This window comes from Homo sapiens, chromosome 6, assembly GCF_000001405.40.
Source record: "Homo sapiens chromosome 6, GRCh38.p14 Primary Assembly".
Lineage (NCBI taxonomy): Eukaryota > Metazoa > Chordata > Mammalia > Primates > Hominidae > Homo > Homo sapiens.
The window spans coordinates 136042865-136069712 of record NC_000006.12 but is presented as its reverse complement, the minus strand read 5'-3'; the positions used below and the strand labels follow the sequence as shown (position 1 = coordinate 136069712).

Below are 26848 nucleotides of genomic sequence, written 5' to 3'. Positions count from 1 at the left end.
TGAAGATAATTTTTCACACTTTATAACTGTATATTATAGAACTAAGTGTTTAAAAAAGCTGAAAATGACTCATTTAAAAGACCTAGTTTGTTTTAATTGGCTAGATATTAATTTCAAAAATTTAAAATAGGCAATAACTGTATTCTTGAATGCCTTAAAAACTCTGCACATTTATATAATCAAATGCTTTTTAAAGAATATTAGCCTTGCTTTTCTGAGACAGTTTTGAACTGTACAATTTCAAGGACTGAATTGAAGGGGAAACCATTAGGACTTGTTGATGGAGGATGCATTCACTACTGATTATTTTCTAATTCCTCCATGGATTTGATCAGTGTAGCCTCACATGTACATATTTACTTATGCACGTGCTTGTGAATGGTTTAAAGATGATTCACTGCATGCTGAGAGTGTTTTCTCCTCATGATTTGTCCCCGCTTGCTTACTGCTTCCAGCTCCTCAGCCTTTAAAGCAAAAGCACATTTTAAAGTTATTTCAAAATTATTTCTTTCTCCTTTGCTATGGGCAGTGTAAACCCTAAATAAAATTCTAAGCCCCCCAACCAACTGAATTGATCCCTCCTCTGGGCCAAGGGCATTCTAACGTAAACCTGAAACACTAGTTCAGGCTATGAGGGGAAGGGGTGGTTGGACATGCCTCATTATACCTTCCTCCCTTAGGAATTCAGGCACAGGTGACCAGCACTGACATTAAAACAGAGACCTTAAGACTGACAAAACAGATGCTTTGTCGCAATAAGATACTAACATGAGATAGCAGGCCCTGAAAGAAATCGAAGTATTTTACCCCAAAACAGATTGCTTTGACATATATTTGACCCATTCTATGTATTTTTTCTGATCCAGGAGAGAATCAACTAAAGAGTCTGGCACCTTTTAAAGTGTGATTAAGAAACATTTACAATCGATTCTCTCTGAAGCCTGCTACCCAGAGGCTTCATCTGTGTAATAAGAATCTTGAAGGCCGGGCACGGTGGCTCACGCCTGTAATCCCAGCACTTTGGGAGGCCGAGGCGGGTGGATCACAAGGTCAAGAGATTGAGACCATTCTGGCTAACACAGTGAAACCCCGTCTCTACTAAAAACACAAAAAAATTAGCCGGGCGTGGTGGCGGGCGCCTGTAGTCCCAGCTACTCTTGAGGCTGAGGCAGGAGAATGGTGTGAACCCGGGAGGCGGAGCTTGCAGTCAGCCGAGATCGCGCCACTGCACTCCAGCCTGGGAGACAGAGCGAGACTCCGTCTCAAAAAAAAAAAAAAAAAAAAAAAAAGGAATCTTGGTCTCCACAACCCCTTCTCTTAACCCAGGCACTCCCTTCTATTGATTCCAGGTCTTTAGATTTTTCAACCAATTGCCTATCAGAAAATCTTTGAATCCACTAATGACCTGGCACGCCGCCCCCACTCCCAGCCCCAACTCTCCTAGTTGTCTTGCCTTTCCGGACAGAACCAATGTACATCTTTCATGTACTGTTGGATGTCTTATGTTAAAATGCTCAAAACCAAGCTGTAGCCTGACCACCTTGGGCACATGTTCTCAGGCCCTCCTGGGCCTGTGTCACGGGCCGTTGGTCACTCATATTTGGCTCGGACTAACTCTCTTCAAATATTTTACAGAGTCTTAACTCTTTTTCGTCGACAGCAGCTAACAATTGAACTGTTTGGGGGATTAAAACATGAATCACAAACATTCCTTTCAGGTGGCATTTCATTTTTTTCTTCTGAAGGAAATCAAGAACCAGAAATTCAGTTTCTTCTAAATTAATTAGATCATTGTTTGCTGCTTTTCCTCTTCCTGACCTTCTCTTTTCATTGATTCTGGAAGGGAAGTGTGTGTTCCACTCATCTCAAAGGAATGCTTGCAATTTGGCGGTAGATTATGCAAACTCCAATTAGCGATCCACAAGGTGTTGAAAAAACAAGGCCTGATGTGTGGGAAATACTGGCAGCTCACTTCCAGCACTTGAAAAACACCTTCCTTGCTTAGATGTGAAGCCACATCTATATCAACATTAAATGCTGGTCAAAAATCACACTTAGAATAGTTGAAATAGAATACAAAACCAAAGCAAACCAAAAAAGTTAAAAAGAAGAAGTCAAACACTTTAATTCTAGTTATGCTTCCGGCATAGAAGTCCCTAGATATTGCTAGTCAAGTCTTAATTAGAATGTCCTATGTAGTTTTAGGTTTTATGTTAAATTCTAACACATTTCATGCCTTCATTTCAATTAAAAATATTTACACTGGGCTTTGGGTATACAGGTCTTCATAAAGTCTAGTAGGGATTTGAAAGTGGGCAATGGAAATCAGCAAAGGCAGATGATTAGGGCTGAGAAACAGAAATAAATTCAATAAAGTCTCACTTAGAATTGGGATTATTTGGTTTGGAGAAAAATGGGTAAATTGTTCCTTTGAAGATGCTTTAAGCTGAAAATTTTACATGCATGCCTCATCTTATTATCTAGAACATTTCTGTGAATGAAGGAGAAAGATACATTCCCAATGTGTGGAGGAATTCCTACAGAGAAAAAACATGGTTGTTGTGTTGGGTGCAATGGCTCACACCTGTAATTCCAGCATTTTGGGAAGCTGAGGTGGGAGGATTGCTTGAAGTAAGGAATTTGAGACCTGGGCAACATAGCAAGACCCTATCTCTATAAAAAATATTAAATTAGCTGGGTGTGGTCGCATACACCTGTGGTTCCATCTACTTGGGAGGCTGAGATGGGAGGATCACTTGCGGCCAGGAGTTCTAGGCTGCAGTGAGCTACCATCTATTGTGCCACTGTGCTCCAGCCTGGGTGACACAGTGAGGCCTCATTTCAAAAAAAAAAAAAAAAAGGTTATGGTTATCCAAAGGAATACTCAGGGAGTCATTGATAAGGATGTAACCAGTATTCATATTTCCCTAGCTTCAGCTTTGTGCTCTGTCTCTCCATTTCTTCTGCTTTTGTTCTTCGGTTGCTAAGTGATATTCAACTTTTTTTCTTTTTAAAGAGTATTTATCATGAGACTTTGTGTAACAGGATATATTGCATACCTGAAGGTTTTTTAAAAATCCTAAAAAGGATTTTTAGTAAAAACTTTAAATATCTGTTTTCATAACTGGTTTGCACCTGCATAGCGAAAGGGCTGAACATCTATTCTTTTGCAGTTGCCCAGGCTATGCCTATTTCATTAACTTATTCAAAGATCCAAAGTGCCACATTCATGTTCTCTAAGGGCTTTGAATCTCTCATATTTGTGGGTGCTATAATAAGAAAATGATGGCTTTGTAAAGGAGCATCAATAACGTTTCATTTCTGTTCAGTATTTGGTTCGGAGTCATCCCACCTCTCCTATCTACTCTGAGACCATGCATCTTGCCTTCTAAAAGGACCAAACCAAACCCAAACAGCAAACATGGAATCCAAGGTGCACATCTGCTCTAAGGGTTATTGAGTCATCCTGGGGGAGTCAGTCACATTTCCCAGCATTAAGTATAATATTATGGGCAAGGCCTTTGTGCTGTTGTGCAATGGAAACAGGAATTGCTGTATTGCCTCGCAGGTAGAAGAGTCTTTCCTTCTGAACTGCTATTAAGTCAGACTGGCTAAAAATAAGGAAAGAGCCACATATAGACATGCCTGGATAAAACTTAAAACAAACAAACAAAAAAAGCCTTTATGGAAATCACTGGATTGTGAACTTTGAGGAAGCCATTGGCAGTGGTGTGTAAAATTGGTGACCTTGTTGTAAACCACCAGTTAGAACTCTGAAGATCACAGGGGGAAATACTATTTTCACATTGTTACTAAGAACTGATAAAAAATAAAGAGCATATCTTAGTGGTTAAAATCTGAAATATTAACTGTTCCATAATAGCTGCTATTCTAGAAATCTGATCTTTCTGAAATTTATGCCTAATCAGACTTTGAAAAATCCAGAATAAACTAAACTATTTAGATGAAAACGTTACATGATCACCATGTAATAGAATCTGAGACACTGAACTCTATAATTTAATATTAATTGATATACGGTTGTATACCCTGAATTTCTTGTTTGCTGTTGGGTTTGGTTTGGTTTTTTTGGAAAGCAACATGTATGGCTTCAGGGTATATGGAAGGGGTGAGCCGATTTTAAGCAGAATCCTACAATGCTTCTGAAATTGAAGTTAAAGCAGCAATATTCCTGGCACCCTGGGATTCAATTAGATGCTTTGTGATGCCTTCTCACTCCCTGGCTACAGAGTATACCATTAACTACAATAGAAGTTTATGAAATAGCCAAATCAAGCCCAAAGTCTCTTTTTAAATTAGCAAGACACTCATAATCATTAGTATGACTTCTCAGATGAGGAAAAAAGATGACAATTTCAGTTTTTTTATATTATTCTAGCCCTGTGATTTAGCCTCAAAGGTGGTTTTGTGAAGCAAACGTCTAATTTGATAAGCTGATTTGTAAATAATTGTATAGGAGAAATGGTTAATAACATAATTTTATGGCATCTTCAAAGCAAACTGAGAAAACCCTACAAGCAAACTGAGAAATACGAGCTGTAGTATTTTGTTTCCAGGTAGCTGCTGTCAAGTCCTGCTAGTCCCAGAGAGGTTCAAGTAGATGTCTCTTCCTTGACTTTTAGGCATATATGAAATTGTGCTCTGGCAATGATTAGATATAAATGCATTTGCACACATAGACAAATGCCACCCTCGTAAACCTACAAATTGTTGGACTCTGTTACTTGCATTTGTTTATTCATTCATTCACAATGAATATTTATTGAGCATCTCTATCAAGTGCCAGGCATAGAGCAGTAACAAATACTGTTTCTGCTCTTGGGGGGCTTACAGTGTTTTGAGAGGAAGGCAGAAATGAAACATAATTATGAATGTCATGAAGGAGAATGAAGGGTAGGTGCCTAACTTCCTAATCGGGACATCAGGAAAGGCCCTCCAGAAAGAGTGACAATTAAGCTAAAGACAACGAAAACCATGCTTTATGGGCCACGGGAATTGACTTGCTTTCAGAAGGAAGGGAAATGGATGGAGCTGATTGTCTTACCTCTGTTGTAAAGTTCTTGGTGAAGGTTCCGAAGATGAAGGTGGAGAAAACAAAAAGAGACAGCTGAGAGAGGGGTCAGAACCAGGCAAGGGGACGAATGAGAGTGAACCTGAGACACTCAAGCTTTAAGGAGAGGAACTGTCTCCATGAAGGCCCCACATTTGAGAACACTGGGTAACAGCCTAAGTGGTCTCCTACGGATTCCTTCTTTTGAGCAGCTTGTTCCTAGCCTGGCATTCAATGAACTTGCCACCAACAGAGAAGCAGGTGGGTAGCTTTTGCATTTAAGAGATTAAAAAACTGAAGTTTTTATTTTTGCCTACTGTTTGGTAATTTTTGGCTCCTTGTGCACAGAGAGAAAATAATCGTAAGTAATTTGGCTTGTTTTTCTTCTCTCAAAGCATTTGTTTGGCCTGTTTGTGCTTTTCCTTTATAGCTGTAATGTTAATACAGCTGCACTCTCAGAGAAATTTTAAATACTAATAGTCTTCCATTGCACGCTAAAACAAATCCCAGAGTAAAAAGCTGTTCAATTAAGAAGTTGTGAATATTTTCATAGTTTTATCACATGTTAATAAAATCCAAAGCCAGATGATACTCCACACATTGCATTAAAAAGAATTATATTTTTCAGTCAACATTATTAATTATGTAGTAAAAAAAAAACTTTAATGAGAAGCTACCTTGGACTGGACAAATGGGTGTTGGAGGGGAATTTATTATGTTAGCCAGGAAGATATGGAATATTGAAAAATAACTATAGCATAAGCTAGAAGGTGCTATGGGTGACGGGGTAGGGCTGATTCTTGAAGGATAAGGGAATTTGGAAATGAGAGGGTTGGATATGAGGTTTTGAATGTCTAGGGAGGACAATTTTGAGTAAACGTTCAGAGGCAGAAGTAACAGTGAATATGAGAAACACGAACTGTGCGGTTTTGTTGGTGTGCAGGGAAAGTGAGGCGGAGAAGTGGAAAGTAGGGGCGGGGCTGCCTTATGGCCTGCCCTGGATGCTAAGTTAGCTGGGAGCCACGGGAAGATTTCCCAGAGAATAGCATAAGCAGAGCTGTGCCTTGGAAAGAGTAACTTGTATTAAGATGGGTTCATCTTTAAGCCATGCTGAAAGCAGGGAACACAGGTAGGGGACTACTGCAGTAGTCTAGGTGCAAAATGAGGAGGTCCTGACTTACCAAGGTGGTGGAAGAAATGGTCAGAAGGATACGGATGGGAAAAATATTAATGAGTATACATAGTTCCTTTGATTTTTGTGAGATATTTGTGGTTTACTTTTAACCTCAAGATATCCCATTGTGGTTTTAAAATGGTATGTATCTAAGGGCTTTATCAGCCACTGAGCCAGAGTCTCCATGGGTCTGGTTAATCAGATGCTGTTCATTAAAGTAACTCCACATGCTCTTCCAGGTCACTGCCTACAATTTTGCAAGCCTTGCGATAATATTTACCCATATTTACTTGAGACTCAGATTCACATATTGCTATTTTAGAACCTTGTTTTTTGTAGGCAGGGTCGCTAATACTAGTCTAATTTTACAGAAAAGCCTGATCAAAGTTATACTAGCAAATATTCAATTAAAGGTTCTCATCACTATTTATTGTTGTCTCTCAATCTGTCTCAGTTTTGAAGATTCAAACCCATACTAATATCTTGAGAATCTAGAATGACAGCAGAAAATCTAAACATGGGTCAGTGTTAACAGTCTCTGCTCTCCTTGCTTCCTCTTCCTGTCTACTCTGCTCCACAAGAATCTGAGATGGGCTAGAATCAACTGCTAGATTCTAGTGCATGCCTAGAGCAATCTCAGCCTTCAGTTCAATCTGGGGCCTTGGAAACTACTCCAGATTCACTCCAGAGAGCAATTTGGTCTTTTAGGTCAGGTCACAGGCGAACTGGGCATTGGAGCTGGAAAGGATGAGGTGGTGAGAGGAAGGGATCTTTCAGGACCCTAGAGCTGCTCTTCTCGTGCCTGTAATGATCTTCTTCCATCTTGTTTACTTGGTACCTCAGTGATCCTGACATCTGTCCTGACATTTTGATGCTTCTTTTTCCCTATCCACAAGTAAGATAAAAGGGTACAAACTTTCAGCTGTAAGATGAATATATTCTGGAGACTGAATGTACAGCATGGTGGCTATAGTTAATAATAATGCATTATGTCACCTGTACTCCCAAAACTATTGAAATAACAATAAATTTAAAAAATGTATTCTATACTTGGAATTCTCTAAGAGCTTAGATCTTAAATATTCCTACCACCACCCACCACCACACAAACACAAAAAGGTAACTATGTGAGGTGATGGATATATTAATTAGCTTCATTGTGGTAATTATTTCATAATGTATACATATATTAAAACATCATGTTGTCTACTTTAAACATATACAATTTTTATTTGTCAATTATATCTCAATAAAGGTGGAAAAAATTTTTAAAAAAGGATAATAGTACTGTATTTACCTTATGAGGATGGCGTGAGGATTGCCTGCAAAGCTTTAGAACATGGTTTAGTTCACAACCACTCCAGTATACCCTTAGAGGTGGTTAGGCCTCCATGCATTGGCGATCCCACAGAGCTTTGCTCGGCTCTATCACAGTAAGCATCACATGCTATTTTACTGTTTCAATTTCTGTCTTATCCCTAGATCGCACGCTCCATAAGGACTGGCACAGTAATGCTAATATCCCATGTTTGAGTTCTGGCAATGTACCAGGAATTGTACTAACTTAAAAATGAGAGGACTGAGGTCTGAGAGGTTAGTTTGCCAAAAATCACATATGTAGCAAGAGCCAGATCAAGATTCAGCACTGGGTATAGAGTTGCATTCTCAATCTCCACTTGCACTATCTTAGTCTTTGTAATCCCTCTATCCCCTCACTTCGAACTGTCACTGCCCTACCCAACATGGTACTATGCCCAGCATTGATTCAATGCTTATTTAGTACTTGACGAATGGGTTTGATGGCTTCTACTCTATGAGTGGTTGAGTTTGGACACATATGACCTCTGCAGGGTACTAAGTAGCTGAAGGCAGTGAGAGGTATTGTTGTCCCAATTTTTACATCTGAATTTCATGTTTGGCAGGCAATACTGCCCTTATTTCTTATATGGGGGTGGGAGAGAGGAAGAGGAATCATTAAAAGTTAATTGCCCAAGAATTCCTGATCCAGACTTGTCCTTTGACCTCTTCACCCACAACAAATCTCCTTGAACTGTGCCAAATTTCTTTGATTCTTTTCTTTGTGAGTATTCAAATCTATATTTAATTTTAAAGAAAGTGTTTAATTCATCAATAAGAATTCCAAACTATGTATCTAGTCAACTAAATGTAACGGTGTGAATATTTTGTTAAGAATTGGACAAGTGAAGACAATATATCAGCCAGATGAGAGGAGAAAGAATTCAAACACATACACACAGAAACACACACACATGCAGAACTTTTTATGATCTCTGACGCCTGCAAACAATGCCATTGACACTAATATTGATTCATTTGAAAATAAAACTGTTTGCTGTGCTACTAGATAATAACAATTTATTTTAAAGTAACATAAAAGAGGGTGCCAGCCAACTTCATAGTATTTGCCTTATTCATTTACCTTCATGCATTCAGTAAATAATTATTGAGCATCTATTACACAACAGTCACTATGCATGGCACAATGTTCCAGAAAATAGTATGACAATTCTCCTACTGATGCCTTCACTGAGAGAGCAGCCAATACAACTCCAAGGACTTCTTTTTTAAAAAGAAGTGGAATATATCAAATGAAGCAAATGAAGTGAAAAGAACTCTAGGCTTAGAATCAGGAGGAGAGGATTAGAATCTCAGCTTGGTCACATAGTGATATAACCTTGAATTTACTCAGCACAGACAGTGGCAGATACTGTACAAAGCCTTCTTATTTAGGTTTTTACTAGCTATGTGATCTGGGACAAGTCATTTATGTGACTTGAGCCTCAATTTCCCATTTGTAAAGTGGAGTACTAATTCTGTGTCTACCTCACAGGGTTGTTATAAGAATTAAGGAGCTAATCTAAATAAATGATTTTTGTACATCCTAAATTGCTGTCTCATGAAAGTTATTATAATAACTATTGTTTATATTACCACAATTTAGATTTTCTTGTAATTTACACCTTTTCTCTGATTTATGGCATTTTTACTCAGCTAATAAAATGATTTTAGGTTCTTACTTACATACTTCTCATGCATACTACTGTTTATACATTTGAATTTTAATATAATGTTTCCTTAAAGTGGGCAGAAAAGAAGAAAGGGCAGAGGAGACAACTGGAAGAGAAAGTACAAGGAGAGGAAAAAATAACAAATCAAATGGGAGCCAAAAGAATCACTCCCTTTCCCCATAAGGTCAGGAACAGGGTGAAGGTCTGGGATTATGACCTAGATTTAGAAATCATCCTTATTCAGGAAAAATGCTCTGCAAAATAATGATTAGCTAAAGAAGAAGGAGGGATATATTAGCTATTCATTTTTATAAACTAGATTTAAAATAATTATCCATTTTCATTCTGATATATGTGTCTTCCAATTTTTCAAGATTAACATTCCACATTAGAATACATGGGTTTGAATTTTACTTAGTTCTTCATGCCTGGTTCCTCAATTCCAAACTGGGTTGAAAATTCTCAAAGGGAAGGGCTGTAATTGGTATGTCTTCCTATCCCTCTCCAAGCTTGGCAGAGTTCAGGTGGATCAGGAATGATTAATTTATGGCAAATACTTCCTATAAAGTGATGTTCAATGTTCCAACCACCACCTTCACTATTTTCTTAATTAAGGTGTAGGATGATTAGCCTTTTACTTATGGAAGCAATCCATTTATTTCAACTGTGAGGAGGTAAGAGTTAAAATTTTGAATGTGAAGTAGTCATGAAAACTGAGCAGCATGATTTTGGGGAGATTAATCGAGTAGACTTTGGGATAGTATTCAAGCAGCTACTACGTTCTTGGAGTTTGCATAATTAAAACTTATAAATTTATGCCTAGCATCTAGGCTTTTCCCGCTCAACTGCAGCAAAGCCACCACCCCTCCTTGCCAAAGTTGTCATTCTGAGCTTAAATCAAATGCGGGCTCTGTTTCAAGCGACTGTGCCTTCCTGGCAGGGTTCCACCACAGCTCAGATCTCCACAGCATCCAGTTTGTCTGGCTGTGGTGCACAGAGAAGGAAAGTTTACATCGGCATAGCAAGTAGGAAGATTGCCTTTTGATTCTCCATCCAGGGATTTGATTAATTTTGTATAATTGCATTGAGGAATTATTAAGCAATTGGGGTCAGAGATGAAGTCTGCATTCATTCTTCCATCTTTTCTCTGCCTCAGAAACAAGTCACTCAACCCATTTATGCCTAGTGTTCCATTATTGGAAGACTAACCTTGTGGGAGTTATTTATATCCTATTGCTCAAGGTCATCACCAAGGTCTGATTTTTTACAAAAATAAATTGCAATCTCTGGCATAAATGGGTTAACTCCTAAACTGTAAAGTTGCTGTTAGTTAGACCACCCCTGGCCCAAAGCACAGGTCAACTTGACCTGTCAACACACTTCATGCCAAACAACTGTTCAGACTGACTCATTCATAATTCATGCATCTAAAAAGACATAATCATGGATTATGTGTATTTAAGTTGCTGACTCTCTAATCCTATTTCTGCTATTTCCATAGCAGAACCTAAAAGGCTTACTTTCTATTAAACTATTCGTTATATAAATCACTTTTTTCCCCCCAAATCAGTGTCCTCAATGGTTGAGTAGTTATTTAAAGTAAATGACTTTGGTTCTAGTAGTCATTTAGTTCTAGTAAATGGACATGGTATACTATTTTTCCCCCTGAATTCTGTAAAATACCACCCATTAAAATCTCTCTTCCTCATCCCCTCTCTTACATTTTCCCCAAATCCACATGTTTGACAGCACAGAAGGATACCAGTTAACATGTGTGTTGATAAAAGATGAGGTTTATAAGCCTCCTGAATCTACCATTGCTTAAAACATTGGAATATCATAAACTAGGGCTGCTAATGAATAGTACATCCAAAACTCAGATAATTCTTACTAGTCTTATTACCTTAAAAGTAATTAACCAGGTATTCTTTTTTCTTAATTCCCTTTGGTTATTGTTTCTGCTTTGCTACTGAATTCCCAGGAAATAGACACTGGAGGTGGGATGGGGACATAGTTTTTGTCCAGTGAGCATGCTGGGAATTCTGAATATTTTCAGCCTCCTTTGGACATTTGTGGGTGAGCAGATGTTACATGTTTTCAGGGTGTCCTTTATTTCCAATTGAAGATTATCCAAACTCTGAAATCTCATGAGGATATCTAATGGTTTTTCTTGAACATAACTGGAAGACCTTGACCCCTGCCAATTTCATTAGGAGATAAACTATTACTGTATGTTGATCTCTTTACAAAACCCCTGATTTTTGAGTTCCCCCCTATCTGGTGCTTTGGAAAGATCTGCCACTTGTCAAGAGTGATCAGTCTTGATTCCTAAAAAGCAGTGGTTGGAATTCTAATGGCAATGTGTTATAGATTGTCTTTTTGCATTATTAAATTGTGAGCAGAGGCGGGCGCAGTGCCTCATGCCTGTAATCCCAGCACTTTTAAAGGTCGAGGCAGAAGGATTACCTGAGGTCAGGAGTTCGAGACCAGCCTGGAAAACATGGTGAAACCCCGTCTCTACTAAAAATAAAAAAATTAGTCAGGCGAGGTGGTGCACGCCTGTGACCCCAGCTACTTGGGAGGCTGAGGCAGGAGAATTGCTTGAACCTGGGAGGTGGAGGTCGCCGTGAGCTGAGATGGCACCACTGCACTCCAGCCTGGGTGACAGAACAAGACTCCGTCTCAAACAAAAAACTGTGAGCAGATATCATCCCAACAAAATGGTGATCTAGAATCTAGATTCAAGTAAAAGCTTTGTGATGACATGGGTTTTTGACTTAAGTGGCCATTCATACCATGAATAATTGACAACTCAAAAATCAGAACACAAACTTCTCCTTTTAACTAAGGATTTAGTTGACAACCAAATACTGGCAAATTCAACATTGTGTGTACAAAATTACTTTTGCATGTAATTTGACACAACCAAATTTTAAACTCTGCATCTCCACCCTAAACCATTCAGAACATTTTGGTAATTGTATGATTAGAGGTATTAGGCTTTCATTGTATACTTTGATGTATAATGGGTGAGAGTTTGATTAAAAAATAGAAGGATACTTTCAAGATTTACCATGGGAATTGCAAATATAATTAAGCCAAAAGTCTGTTCTATGACTTTTCTTTCCACTATTTATCACTCAGAGTAATGAACCATGGATGAGGGAATGTGAATTGAGTTAGTGCTTCCTGATCTTCAAGGATAAGATAAAAAGGCAACTTAATATTTCTGGGTAATCAGTAGAAATGAGAATAGTGTGGGATAATAACCATTAGCATGTACATCACTTAGCTTATTATGTACCAGCAGTGTGCTAGTTCTTTGTGTGGATTAACTGATTTAACCTTCACAATCGCACCACAATGCAGTTTCTTTGGTTATTTCCATCTTACAAATGAGAAAACCGAGGTCCAAAGACTTTAGTAAAGATACAGGGCCATTGGGCTCCAGAGCTCATCTTTTAACCATGATAATGAATTAAAGAGAAGTATGCCTAATGATAGGGCCAAAGGGGAGGGGCTTAGGGAAATAGAAGGCTATTAATTTTTCATAAGATTAACAAAAAAGAATACAAACCAGAACCACAAACATAAAAAAGATGGAGTCGGCCAAGCGCGGTGGCTCACGCCTGTAATCCCAGCACTTTGGGAGGCCGAGGCAGGTGGATCACCTGAAGTCTGGAGTTTGAGACCAGCCTGGCCAACATGGCAAAACCCCGTCTCTACTAAAAATACAAAAATTAGCTGGGTGTGGTGGCAGGTGCCTGTAATCCCAGCTATTTGGGAGGCTGTGGCAGGAGAATCGATTGAACCCAGGAGGCGGAGGTTGCAGTGAGCCAAGATCACGCCATTGCACTCCAGCCTGGGCAACAAGGGCAAAACTCTTGTCAAAAAAAAAAAAAAAAAAAAAAAAAAAAAAAAAAAAAGGATTCTATCTGCAAAGGAGCTCAGAATTGAAGGCTTACTGAAAAGTGTGCCTCTAACTAACTTTTCAGCTTTGTAGGGCAATTGCCAAAAAGCAAGAACTGCAGAAAGAACTTGACAGTTTTTAAGATGGCCCACGAAGCCTTTAAAACACATTAATATAATTAGAAGTCATATCACCGTTATAAATAAACAGTTCACCTGTGTATGCACATATCTTGGCTGGCCCTTAATTAAAGCTTGGTTTCCAATGAAGGGACAAAGTTATTCAACATGGTTAGTGTGGGGAAGACTGAAGACGTATAGCAACTGTCGACCTTGACCTTGGTGAGCTGTCAGGAATAGGAGCAGCTCACCTCTAAGAAGTTAAGACACACAATACAGAACATGTCTTTCTAGTGCCATCCAGATTCCTCCTCCTCCTTCTACGTTTCCCCTCATTCTCTGTGCCACCTCTGGCATTATCTAGCTCCCGTCTTCTTTTTCCTTTCTGAACTCCATTGTTCTTTTAAAAAGCCGGTGTTACTTTGGAAATTATACTTTCTGGAATCTTTTAGTCTTCCCCTCTTCTCCTTCCTTATCTTGCAGGATCATTGTCCAGTGTCTTACTAATACAAAGAAAGAAGCTTGTTCTTTGTACAAAGGAGCAAGAACCTTGTTTCGTTTCTGCTGTTAATCTGGTTCCTTTAGACCCCGCCCCCTTGCCCATGCCACATGGGCAGCCCTCCTCTGTAAGTTTCTTTGGAAGTGGTCTCAGAAACAATGTCTGGACTGCAGATCTAGGTACACTTAGCACCCAGCTGCTCCTCACTTTTGTACTGAATAGGAATGGATCCACTTGTTTTCATATTTACTGTGCTGCTTTCAGTGTAATATTTATCTTTTAATCTAAACATGCACATTCTTTCCAGTCTTTCTGGATCTTTGGGAAATACTAAAAGGATTTTCACTGAGAAGAATGTTGGGCAAAGTGTGTGAAATGGGTTCAAATAAAATGAAAAATGTATTCAGATATTTACTCTGAACTTTTAACACAACTTGAATTTTTGAGTGTCTCCATCTACATGTGTTCCTACACTGAGGGACTACCAATGAAGTAAAAGACTCAGTGCTGGTACTCAAGGTAGAGAGCAAAAAGTTTTATTAAAAAGTAGAAGTAAAGAATACTTTCAAGGTTTACTACTGGAAAGGCAAATCCACATGTTTTACAGCACAGAAGTTAGAGTACATCATCTCCCTGCCCTTCTCACTCCCCACACATAAAACATGTTCTGCTAATTCCATCATGGGCATATCTACCATTATAACCTTTAAAATGGAAAGAGAAAAATTAAGAAGCAGTGCTCCCTTTTAGATAGCAGAAATGATTTTAGATTGGCCTTTGGTCTGTGCCAGACATTTGGCTCTAATTCTATACACATATGTAGAGATGAGCCACCTGGACAGTTTTACAGACCCTCACAATGAAAGACAGTTCCACAGTGATATGGTTTGGCTCTCACCTTGAATTGTAATAGTCCCTATGTGTTTTGGGAGGGACCTGGTGGGAGGTAATTGAATCATGGGGGCAGGTATTTCCTGTGTTCTTCTCGTGATAGTGAATAAGTATCATGGGATCTGATGGTTTTATAAAGGGTAGTTCCCCTGCACACACTCTCTTTGCCTGCCATCATGTAAGATGTCCCTTTGCTTTTCCTTCATCTTCCACCACGATTGTGAGGCCTCCCTAGCCATGTGAAAATGTGAGTCCATCCTCTTCAAGGAGAACTACAAACCACTGCTCAAGGAAATAAAAGAAGATACAAACAAATGGAAGAACATTCCATGCTCATGGGTAGGAAGAATCAATATCGTGAAAATGGCCATACTGCCCAAGGTAATTTATAGATTCAATGCCATCCGCATCGAGCTACCAATGACTTTCTTCACAGAATTGGAAAAAACTACTTTAAAGTTCATATGGAACCAAAAAAGGGCTCGCATTGCCAAGTCAATCCTAAGCCAAAAGAACAAAGCTGGAGGCATCATGCTACCTGACTTCAAACTATACTACAAGTCTACAGTAACCAAAACAGCATGATACTGGTACCAAAACAGAGATATAGACCAATGAAACAGAACAGAGTCCTCAGCAATAATGCCACATATCTACAACTATCTGATCTTTGACAAACCTGACAAAAACAAGAAATGGGGAAACGATTCCCTATTTAATAAATGGTGCTGGGAAAACTGGCTAGCCATATGTAGAAAGCTGAAACTGGATCCCTTCCTTACACCTTATACAAAAATTAATTCAAGATGGATTAAAGACTTAAATGTTAGACCTAAAACCATAAAAACCCTAGAAGAAACCTAGGCAATACCATTCAGGACATAAGCATGGGCAAGAACTTCATGTCTAAAACACCAAAAGCAATGGCAACAAAAGCCAAAATTGACAAATGGGATCTAATTAAACTAAAGAGCTTCTGCACAGCAAAAGAAACTACCATCAGAGTGAACAGGCAACCTACAGAATGGGAGAAAATTTCTGCAATCTACTCATCTGACAAAAGGCTAATATCCAGAATCTACAATGAACTCCAACAAATTTACAAGAAAAAAACAACGCCATCAAAAAGTGGGCAAAGGATATGAACAGACACTTCTCAAAAGAAGACATTTGTGCAGCCAAAAAACACATGAAAAAATGCTCATCATCACTGGCCATCAGAGAAATGCAAATCAAAACCACAATGAGATACCATCTCACACCAGTTAGAATGGCAATCATTAAAAAGTCAGGAAACAACAGGTGCTGGAGAGGATGTGGAGAAATAGGAACACTTTTACAATGTTGGTGGGACTGTAAACTAGCTTAACCATTGTGGAAGTCAGTGTGGTGATTCCTCAGGGATCTAGAACTAGAATTACCATTTGACCCAGACATCCCATTATTGGGTATATACCCAAAGGATTATAAATCATGCTGCTCTAAAGACACATGCACACATATGTTTATTGTGGCACTATTCACAATAGCAAAGACTTGGAACCAACCCAAATGTCCAGCAATGATAGACTGGATTAAGAAAATGTGGCACATATACACCATGGAATACTATGCAGCCATAAAAAATGATGAGTTCATGTCCTTTTTAGGGACATGGATGAAGCTGGAAACCATCATTCTCAGCAAACTATTGCAAGGACAAAAAACCAAACACCGCATGTTCTAACTCATGGGTGGGAATTGAACAATAAGAACACATGGACACAGGAAGGGGAACATCACACACCGGGCCTGTTGTGGGGTGGGGGGAGGGGGGAGGGATAGCATTAAGAGATATACCTAATGCTAAATGATGAGTTAATGGGTGCAGCACACCAACGTGGCACATGTATACATATGTAACAAACCTGCACATTGTGCACATGTACCCTAAAACTTGAAGTATAACTTTTTTAAAAAAATGTGAGTCCATTAAACCTCTTTCCTTTATAAATTACCCAGTCTCAAGTATGTCTTTATTAGCATAGAGACCATTCAGTGGAGCCAATGGGATAGGACCCAGCTTGTGCCTTGGGACAGGTCTGACATAAGGGATCAAGAATATGTCCGCAACTGGGGGGAATGAGGATGGAAGAGTGTAGTCATATGAGGGAAGTGCCAGGTTAGAAACCAGGTAGAAGACTCAGGATCCACCTATGAGTTAGTTAGAGCACCTTACCAATGTGTATATAATTGAAGTGAAATGCCTGGCACAGACCAAAGGCAAATACAAAAACACTTCTGCTATCTAAAAGGAAGCATTGCTTCTTAATTTTTCTCTTTCCATTTTAAAGACTATAATGGCAGGTATGCCCATGATGGGATTAGCAGCATGTGTTCGGCATGCTGTGGGTGGGGGGGGGCTGTACCCTAACTTTATACACCCACAAGAACTGAGCTCTGGGTGGAGACTTGCACTTTTCCCACATGGCTGCACTCTTCCATGGGGAGCCAATGGGATGGGCCCCAGTTGGAACTCCTCAGTTCTTTATGGAACTGTCTTTCACTACAAGAGCCTGCAAAACTCTCCCCAGCTGGTTCACCTCTTCCCATTTACTTCAACTCTTCAGGAGGACATTCTCCAGTACCAGACTGACAGTCCTCATCAAAAACTGCTCCACATACCCGAAGCCAGGAAAAATATCTTTCTTCCCAGCAAATCTTCCTGGAGATAATGAATGTAGTAATCATTTTTGCTTCCCCTTTGCCCTGTCTGCTAGGAAGTTCTGATCCCAGTTTTGCTCAACTGCTTTGCGTAACTCTTCTCTTTCCTCCTACTTTTTATATATGGCTTTATCTCTCATCCTGACAGAATGGTTTTATGTGCTTGTGTACTTACATTTTATTGTAAGCTTCATATAAGCTTACAAGTCTTTTTGGAAATAGGTAGATATTGTGCAAAGAAGTTTTTATCCTCAGCCTTTTTTTTTTTTACTTTAAATGTACATGTAATGTAATATCTATTTAAATCTTTATTTAAACTCCTACTTCATCCCTCTGAACAGCCCATACATGTGCCTCTGCTTATTATATAATGGTCAAGTTCCATGGTCCTGGTTCTGAAGTTAGGAAAATGTCTCGAAGGGGAGTGTATTCCTCATTATCATTTATATCTAACCAGCCCGTAAGTATATTGTTGTGGTGGGCAATGGAGGTGGTGGTAGCGAACGAAAGGTGGAAATAATGAAGAATGAAGGAGTTACTAAATACTTTGGATATGGTAAGAAATCTTTTAGCATATTATCAAAGACATTACATGGCCGTAGATGAGTTGCCCAGACTGGAAAAGTTAAACTTCAGGAAGCAAACTCCCTTTGAGATGAACCAGGCTTGGTTTTCCTTTGTTTTATTAACACTCGGCCCCATCCAGGGTTTACAATGCATCCAGCAAGCTGAATTGGTTACGGGACCAATTTAGAAGCTCTGTGTAATGTCTTTGAACACCTTAATGTTGACATAAAATCCATAATTCACAATTTCAGGATATGCTTCTTGCAGGGAAGAGAGGAGAGCCTCCTCGCAGGGGCTAAACAATGCGAGAGTTCAAAAGGGTTGAAGATGCACTGTGGGTATTTGGACTGGCACTCAAGAACTCGCGGATGCTCGCGATTGCTTATCTGACTTATCTAAACTGCTGACGTCAAAAGAATTAGGCTAGAAATCTTATGATTACAGCTTTTCTTGTGATCTTTTCTGGTATTTCCTGTTTCCTGTGAGGCCAAATATACTTCGAGAGAGGGTTATTTTATGGCATTTCACTGTTTCTGCCTCAGCTAGATCTAAAGGTACAGAGAGCATGGAGTAAAAATAATTAAGAATAACATCAGAAATCTCTGCCCGCCCCCACTCCCCTCACTCACTGTCATTTCTTTATAAGAAACAAAAAAAATTTCTGCAATGGTTCAGAGTAGGATCTTATTTTTAATGGAACAAGGTCTATTGCTGATTTAAAAGAAGAAGCCACTTCAATTGTATTTCTAACTATTGACTTATTTGGGTAGTCATAAACAGACAGGCTCTGAACGGCATTAGCAGGCAGCCTGGGAAGCGTCTGAGAGGAGGAGGAAGAGGAGGAGGAGGAGGAGAAAGTTTCAGAGGATAAAGGAGGAAAAATGGTCATCAAAGATTACACTGTTCCTTCGGGGCTACAAACACCTTATAGAAGCAGGAAAGAAAAACAAATGGTGGGAGTTAGGCCTGTCCAGTTTATAAAATCTTGCCTAAATGTAGCTAAATCTTCAACTTGCTTTCTGAGTACAGGCCCTGAATCATGGTCACCACTACTTTTGCAAAGAGAGCCTGAGGAACTGAAAGGCTGATCCTCAGTAGCTTATGGGCACATGTACCACAGACCCAAGCCACAATAGCCACTTACACTGGCCCTGCTTGAAATTCTACCTCCAGGCAACAATGCAGAAGGCAGCAGAACTCCTGAAAAGGACCACAGTAACATTTTATTTATAATGGTTAAGCAACTACCAGCTACCACCTCTATCTATCTCTCTTACATATAACTTTGTTAATTCACAATCCTGGTGAAATTCTCACCTTTGGCATTTTTTTTTTTTAATTTTCTGGTGAACGTCTATCTCTTTAGTACATTGCAGGCAATGTAGATGGGAAAATTCACAGAGAGGGCTTGGGACTCTCCTAGACAATTTCTAATCTAAGTTTGGAAACAAGAAAAATGTGTGTATACATATCACATGTAGGTTTACATGTAAACATCTAACTCTTGCTCATGGAAAGATGGACACTACACACTTATATAGTGCCATCACGCATCACGGAGACGTTAAGTATTTGGGAGTGAAAAGGACAGAAAATTGGATTTAGAGAGATTATCATGTTAGAGAAGCCTCGGCTGGAGTTGAGCGGCTTCAGGGTTAGACCATGACCAGCAGCGTGGCTGAGTCAATGGCATGGCTGGATGTCAAGGGACCTCGAGTTGGCCCTTGTGCAGTCAATAACTAGCTCTGTGCCCCACATATGTTGTGTAACTTCTGTGGAGTCTCAGCTTTCTCACCATAAAAAAAAATGCAGTGATTTAACTAGATCCTCTCAAAGACCCATTTTCATTAAAAAATTCAAGTGAAAGTACCCTTTACTGTTCCATTTAAAGATTTTCAATGGTTCTACAAGAGTTAAGATTTCTTGTCCATATGCAGTCTCGTCCCACTAATGTCTTTTTCTGTTTCCCACTCTTCTTCACTCCTAATGCTGTGCCAAGCCAATTTGACTAATCTCCATTCTCAATCATTTCCTGTGCTTCTTTGCCTTGTACCTATGTTCACGTTTATTCCCTCACCAAATTTCTCACATCTTGTTGAGATCTTAACCATCCTAAAGTCATAGCTGTAATGATCAGTCCATCACAGAACCTTCCTGGGTCAACCAACAAAGAGTCAGTTAATGCCCAATCCTCATGGAGTACTGATCACACTTGGTTTGTTTTTGAGGATGTAACTTTAACACACTACATTATAAGATACATAAAAAACCATATTTTTCTTATATGTTTTCTCATCCATCCAGTGGCATCTAGTGTGGGAAGAACTGTTTGCTTAGAAAAACATGGAGGGCCAGTGTGGTGGCTCACAACTGTAATCCCAGCACTTTGGGAGGCAGAGGCAGGAGGATCCCCTGAGGCCAGGAACTCAAGACCAGCCTGGGCAACGTAGCAAGACCATGTCTCTACAAAAATAAAAAAATTAGCTGGGTGTGGTGGTGTGCATCCATAGTCCCAGCTACTTGGGAGGCAGAGGAGGAAGGATTGCTTGAGCCTAGGAGTTCAAGGCTGCAGTGAGCTGTGATTGAGCCACTGCACTCCAGCCTGGGTGACAGAGCAAGACCTCATTTCAAAAACAAACAAACAAACAAAACAGGCAATCTAAGTACTGGAAGAAATGTGAGTTGGCGATGTAAGAAGGATAGACTGTTCTGAGACTATGGCGACAACCTGTGTTCTGCATTTGGGGAAGAGATGAACATGACTGGAACAGCATGTCTAGATGGAAGGCTATATAAATCCTTCATGATAGGATGATACCATGTGTCAAGGGCTTTGGCTTGATTATTTCTATATTATTTCTTGTGGCTCTGTGTAAAATACTATAGCACTTGGGAAATTTGGTTTGTAAGTTGAAGAGAAAATATTCAGCATCTCAAAATTTTCAACATCTTACAAATATGGTCAATGAATGCCACTATGGTTATACATATTCGTTAGTATGCTCACCCTAACTCCACCTCTTCACCAGCCACTGTTGCTAGAATGATCTTTCTAAAATGTAAAATTTATCATATCACTTCCCACTAAAATTGTCTGAAGTTTTCTTATCCCTATAGGATAAACTCCTCAGAAAGACAGATGAGGCCAATGGCAACCTGACCCCCAGCCTATCTTTCTAGTCTTATCCTAGCCCTCCCCTGATTCATTTTATACCCCATAACTTGGCCTTCCCTGGAATTTGTTGCATTTGGTCCTGTGTTGAGTGTAATGGCACAATCTCGGCTCACTGCAACCTCTACCTCCTGGGTTCGAGGATTCTCCTGCCTCAGCCTCCCGAGTAGCTGGGTTACAGGCACCCACCACCACGCCTCTAATTTTTGTATTTTTAGTAGAGACAGAGTTTCACCATGTTGGCCAGGCTGGTCTTGAACTCCTGACCTCAGGTGATCCACCTGCCTCGGCCTCCCAAAGTGCTGATGTTATAGCCGTGAGCCACCGCGCCCAGCCCATCATCTCCTTTCTTGACACCTCCTTTACCACCATCATACAGGCAGAATTAATCACTGTCTTATGTGTTGGCAATTGGCACAGACTTTGTGTATGCACATTTAGTATATTATATATCACATCTATCTATCTGTCTGTCTGTCTGTCTGTCTATCTATCTATCCATCCACCCATCCATCCATCTACCTCAACATTCTTGGTTCATGAATATTTATTTTCTAAGGAATGAAGAAACTATGTGGCACATGATAGGCACCAAACAAACTTAGTTGAATAAACACTTTTGATTCTTCCTCTACGTTCCCATAGAGTATTATTTCCACTTTATTGTAAAGCATATGCCATTCTGCCTTGATATCAGTGAGTTGTTTCTGTATCTGTCTCTTCTAATAGGTCATAATATCCTTTATTCTGTCCCAGACAGAAAGCACAATGCTATGCACTGAGTAAAGAAAACTAGAAATTTGAATTTTTCATTTCCCTTTCTGAATATCTTAAATAAATAACCAGTAAATAGAAGTCTCAATTTCTTCTATTTCTAAGTTGGAAATAACACCTATTTGGTTGATGCTTACTGTTTAGCATAAGAAGTTCAGTATTTGTATGTAACATTGAAACATCATTTTCCATTTTGTGACCTCCTAGTATGTTTCTAACAATTTTTGGAGGATTTGAGACATTTTCAAAAATTTTTCAAAACAAAATTTGTTTTAGTCCAATTTTGTCTATTTACATTCCCTCCCCACTTTCTTTCTAGGGGATGAGGGCCAAAGAAAGGAGGAGAAGAGCTCTCAGAATTTCCAATTAGCACATTTAAGCAGTGAAAATGTATCAGACCTGACCAGAATACAATACATTGTATGATTAGGACCACAATTCCAATTAGTGGCAGATACAAAAGCTCAGCTCTCAATGTGAAAACCAACCAGAAAGGTGAGATTTGTACACATCTTTTTTCATGTATTACAGTCATTTGGTCAAACTTTTCAGTGTCAACATTTTGAGATGGTTGTGGAAATGTATGTGTTTAAGAGAGAGACAGAGAAAGAGTGGTAGTAGAGAGGGTAGAAGAATCAGGTCTAGCTGATGCTTCTAGTTACATGGGAATGTAACTCAGACAAATCATGTTGAATACGCAATGCTCAAGGATAGGGCCTAGCACATAGTAACTTAACCAGTGTGTGATAGAGATAATGTTTTTTGATGTATGTCCGTGGGCCATTTTCTTTTGTTTTGCACTCTCTTGTGCATATCCTCTGCTTCCACCCCTCTAGAGGCATACGTGGAAGATCATTTGGAATATTATAGCAAGAATGAGAAGAAAAGAAGGGAGCTGATATTCATTGTTTGGCCTTCAGAGTAACAGGTTTTCGGGTTTTGTTTTGTGTGTGAGTTTGCAGAAGGACAATAATCTTAACAGCTTGTCTTTGTGGAAAGATGAAAGGATTTTCTTTATTCTTTTATTAGATCCCTTTAATATATTAAGAGGTGGGTCTATAGATATGGGCACATTGAGGCTTCCTTCTGCTGGGAGGAAAGAGGATATGGCACAGGGTAAGGTCATGTCAAAGAGACAGTTGCAAAGTCTACTCCTGATACCCTGGGGAATTGCAGGGAAGCGTCACAGGCAGAGCCCAGTGGCACATGAACATACATTTGCTTCTCCCTCTGAGGTTGGCACCTCTCAGGCGTGTGCAGGAGAAACATTGGATAGGTATGTGGGAACCCAAGGCACATATTCACCCAGATGCCAACTTGGAGAGGAGCAAAGAGTGGCAAGGTATTTATTCAAAAGAAGTAATCGAGAAGAGACTGACCACCATGGTGCTAATTAACAAGTTTAAATTTCCCTATTCCCCATCAGGGTGGGCTCAAGAGGATAATTTTCTTGGTTGAAGAAGAGACTCAGGCTACGTTTCATCACATATTTGAGTGCGCAAACTTGAAATCTCTGTTACAAATGTTTTAAACAGTGACTGTTTCCTTCTCACTTCTGTATGTATTTTTTTATTACACTTCTTATATTTGAATGTTTCTTTGTAGTGACCTTACCTGACTTCCTTTTCCTGGGTGCTCTAGGCCTGCCTGTCTGCCTGTCCCTTCTTCTTTTCTTTTTAAATTATTTTCTTCAGCAAACTATCGACTTCTTTGAATGAACGACTGTCACAGATCCTCTAAATGTAATGTCCTGCAGGTTTTCTGAAGTGCTTGTCACTTACGTTTATAGATTTGTGTGAAATGTTTGGGTGTCATCCAAAAAGATTTGGAGAAGGAAGCAAGAAAGACAATCTTTCTTTAGCTTTGGCTTTAATTCCAGAGGTTAAGAAGCATTAAAATTCTAATTATTGCATGATATGTGTCTTATTACCCTTAGTTATTTAATTTTCCTTTTCGATACCTTTACGGAAGATTTACGTTCATTCCCATCATAGCTCTAGCTGTGATTTTATTTTACAATTTTCTGGCTCCTGTACCTTTCAATTTCTACTACCACATTCATGCAACTGCGACTCGGTCTCTCTTGAAATTTGTCCTTCTTTTCTCTCTAGTGATTCTATTTTTCTGTAGTAAGCTTGGCCCCTTGGACCCAAGGCTTTCCACAACTAAACCCTGCTTTGTCTTTGTCAGCCATGCCTTCCAACTGCATACAAGGCTGACAAGTTTTCTCCTGTCACTCATGATGAGAATTGTGACCTACTCACTGGAGTACCCCTCAGCATTTGTGTTACAGCAGATGAAGTAACAAAATGCTCAGGACAGCGACTTGGTTTATAAGCTCTAAAATATATGTCCTGTGGATTTTTTAGGTAAGAAGAAGTGCTTAGAAGAAGGGGCCTCTAATAATTTTATAATTTCAGGAAATTTAAGACAAGTTCAAAGATACAAAACTCATTTCTTGGGGTGGTCTTTTGGCATTTTAGAGATTGAAGTCAATTCCAAAGAGAAATGTATGGAAAGGCAGACAGGGATAAACAGGAAAATGAAGTATAAAGTTCACACTGTGTGTATATCAAGACTACAGCATTGCATTAAATCACAAATTCCGTGAGCTCTGCTTACTATTTCTGATATGATGAGATGTACCTAGTATGTATTATCAAGAGTACTGAAAATTAAAGAGTGGAAAAAATCAGATAGAAGACAGTACACAGTTTCAGTTACTTTCGTGAGTTAAAAAAAAAAAAACTTGAAACTTTCGGGCTTTTCACAATAAAGCTACTAATTTTTTTTTTTGGAATTGGTCTGATGCAAAAGTCAATGCTTTTCTGTCCAGTTGAACCAGCCTTGTTTAATTTTTTTTTTTAAAGGGAAAGAAAAGAAAAAAGAAACTGTTTGCAGAGAACGAGCAGAGATCTTGGGAATACCATCCTCCATTGAGAGCCAGCCCCTCAAAAGCTCATTCGTAGGGCTGGGTAAACACACACCTTTTGCACTCTATTTTTGAAATTATGTTCAGGAGTCTACAGACTGTTATCTGTAGAAGAAGCCACTTTTGAAATTTTAGTTTATGTAAAGTGTTCCAAAATGCATGAACAGAGTAATTATTTTAAAAGTCTATAAATGCATGCATTTGCTCTAAAATTTTGTAATTATCAGTAGATTACAAGTTCTCTATAGGAAGAGAGAGCTGTCTCATATTAGTTTTGCACTTATACCTTTTTTAATAGTTCTGAACTTCACTCTTGTGTATTCTTTTATTTTAAAAGCTATAATGACTAATCCTGATCTTCTGCTGGAATATGTTTAAATAGGATTCCATTAAAAACAAGAGCTAGAATTCATGTTTCTTGAGTAATCTGTCCCTAAAAAGATGTTCATTCATGCATCTGATGGCAATTTGTAAGCTATTTTATTCCTTCTGATAATTTTATTTTTTCACATATCAAAATGTATTGAGTGGCTGACATGCAACAGATCTTAGGGAAAACATGAAAAAAACAGAATGTTCTCCAGACTCTCAAAGAGCTGGAATCTAGAAGGAGAGGAAGAAATGTACACTAATTGTAACAAAATTAAGTGATTTGCCTGTTAAATAAATACAAAGAAAGTTCTGTGGAACTTCAGAAGAGAAAGGCATATTTTCCTTCAGTAATCTCAGGAGGGATTCATGAAGGGGCTAGCATACGAGCGGGATATTAAGTAAGGAATGGGATAAATTAGGGACATGGAGCAAAGTCATTTTAAGCATTGAGAACAATGAGCAGAAAACAAGTAGGATGCTGTGGGAGGTTTGTCTTGTCTGGGTGGAATATGAGTACTCAGAGGGCAATAATGACAAATAAGACTGGAAAAATGAGTTCGTGCCAGATGGAGAACTTTGAATGCAGGAGGAAAGAATCTGGATTTTCTCTGTAGACACTAGAGAATTATTAAAGGATTTTGAAGAAGGGTTGAGACATATCTTGATTTTTCTTTTAACACTGTTGATCTAAATCACAGAATAGAATGACAATGGATAGAGAGAGTTGAAGGCTATTGCAAGATTATAGACAAAACAACATGAGATTTGACCAAGGGCCATGCAACTGAACAGAGAAAAGATAATGAATGAGAGAAGTTGTTGAGAAAAATAACACCAACACCAGTAATTATGAGAGTATACATTTACTGAGAGTGTGGTGGAACTTAGGTTCTATTCTAGGCACTTTTTTTTTTTTTTTTTTTTGCTATTATGTCATTTAATCCCGACAACAACCTTAAGCAAAGGTGCTATTATTAATTCTCTTTTTACATAAGAAGAAACTGAGGCACCGAGAGGTGAAGTACCCACCCAGGGTCACACAGTTCAGTAATGGAGATGCAGAATTTAAAACTTTTAAGATCTCAACATTGCAACCACACTCTGGCACCCTTAGCCTCTCTTATGGACTTAGAACTAGTGGGAATTGGGGAGCTGGAGTTAGCAGTTTTGAACCTTTCATGAGTCATTCATGAAAATAAGTCAGGTGAAGGAGAAGGTTTAGTTCAAAGTGAGATGATGTACTCCAGTATTGACTCAATTTGCATTCACATTTAAGAGATGCTTTAAATTATTAATGATTATTATCCAGCATCACTACAGAGTGAAAACAGGCTGCTAAAAGCAGTAGTTTTAGAAAAATATTATGAATTAATACTTATCTGCCATTGAGACTAATTGATTCCTTGCTCAAAGCAATTTGTCCTGCTTTGAATGAAATCATTAGAACCAATGAGTATTTGAAAGTGTGTATAAATTTTTACAAGTGTTTTTGAATTTTACCAGTTTTACAGCCAGTAGTTTGAGTTGACAGGTTTAAACTAACAAGTGCTTGTTTTCACACTGTAGTTGTAGACAGAGCTCTGATTCATAAATCCACAATTGTTCTTTCATTAAGCTTTTGATTCATCTCTGAGT

General features: G+C 38.9%; 1 protein-coding gene and 1 long non-coding RNA gene across 2 annotated transcripts in view, besides 1 other annotated feature; one reads left to right on the top strand and one right to left on the bottom strand.

Moving 5' to 3' along the window:
* The window catches only part of PDE7B-AS1 (PDE7B antisense RNA 1), a 28976-nt gene extending 3115 nt beyond the window's left edge, over window positions 1-25861 (top strand). Inside the window, exon 4 of the long non-coding RNA NR_149042.1 lies at window positions 24780-25861. This is a non-coding gene — a long non-coding RNA (PDE7B antisense RNA 1). The remainder of the gene's footprint in view (window positions 1-24779) is intronic.
* PDE7B (phosphodiesterase 7B) overlaps window positions 1-26848 on the bottom strand; it is a 343874-nt gene that overhangs the window by 125862 nt on the left and 191164 nt on the right. The gene's annotated exons all lie outside the window — the stretch shown is intronic.
* Window positions 1510-2054: an enhancer, noted in NCBI's record as "OCT4-NANOG-H3K27ac hESC enhancer chr6:136388797-136389341 (GRCh37/hg19 assembly coordinates)". NCBI's record gives its function as "activates a minimal SCP1, AML or CMV promoter by ChIP-STARR-seq in naive H9 embryonic stem cells {active_cell/tissue: H9 hESC(naive)}" and the evidence as "EXISTENCE:reporter gene assay evidence [ECO:0000049][PMID:30033119]".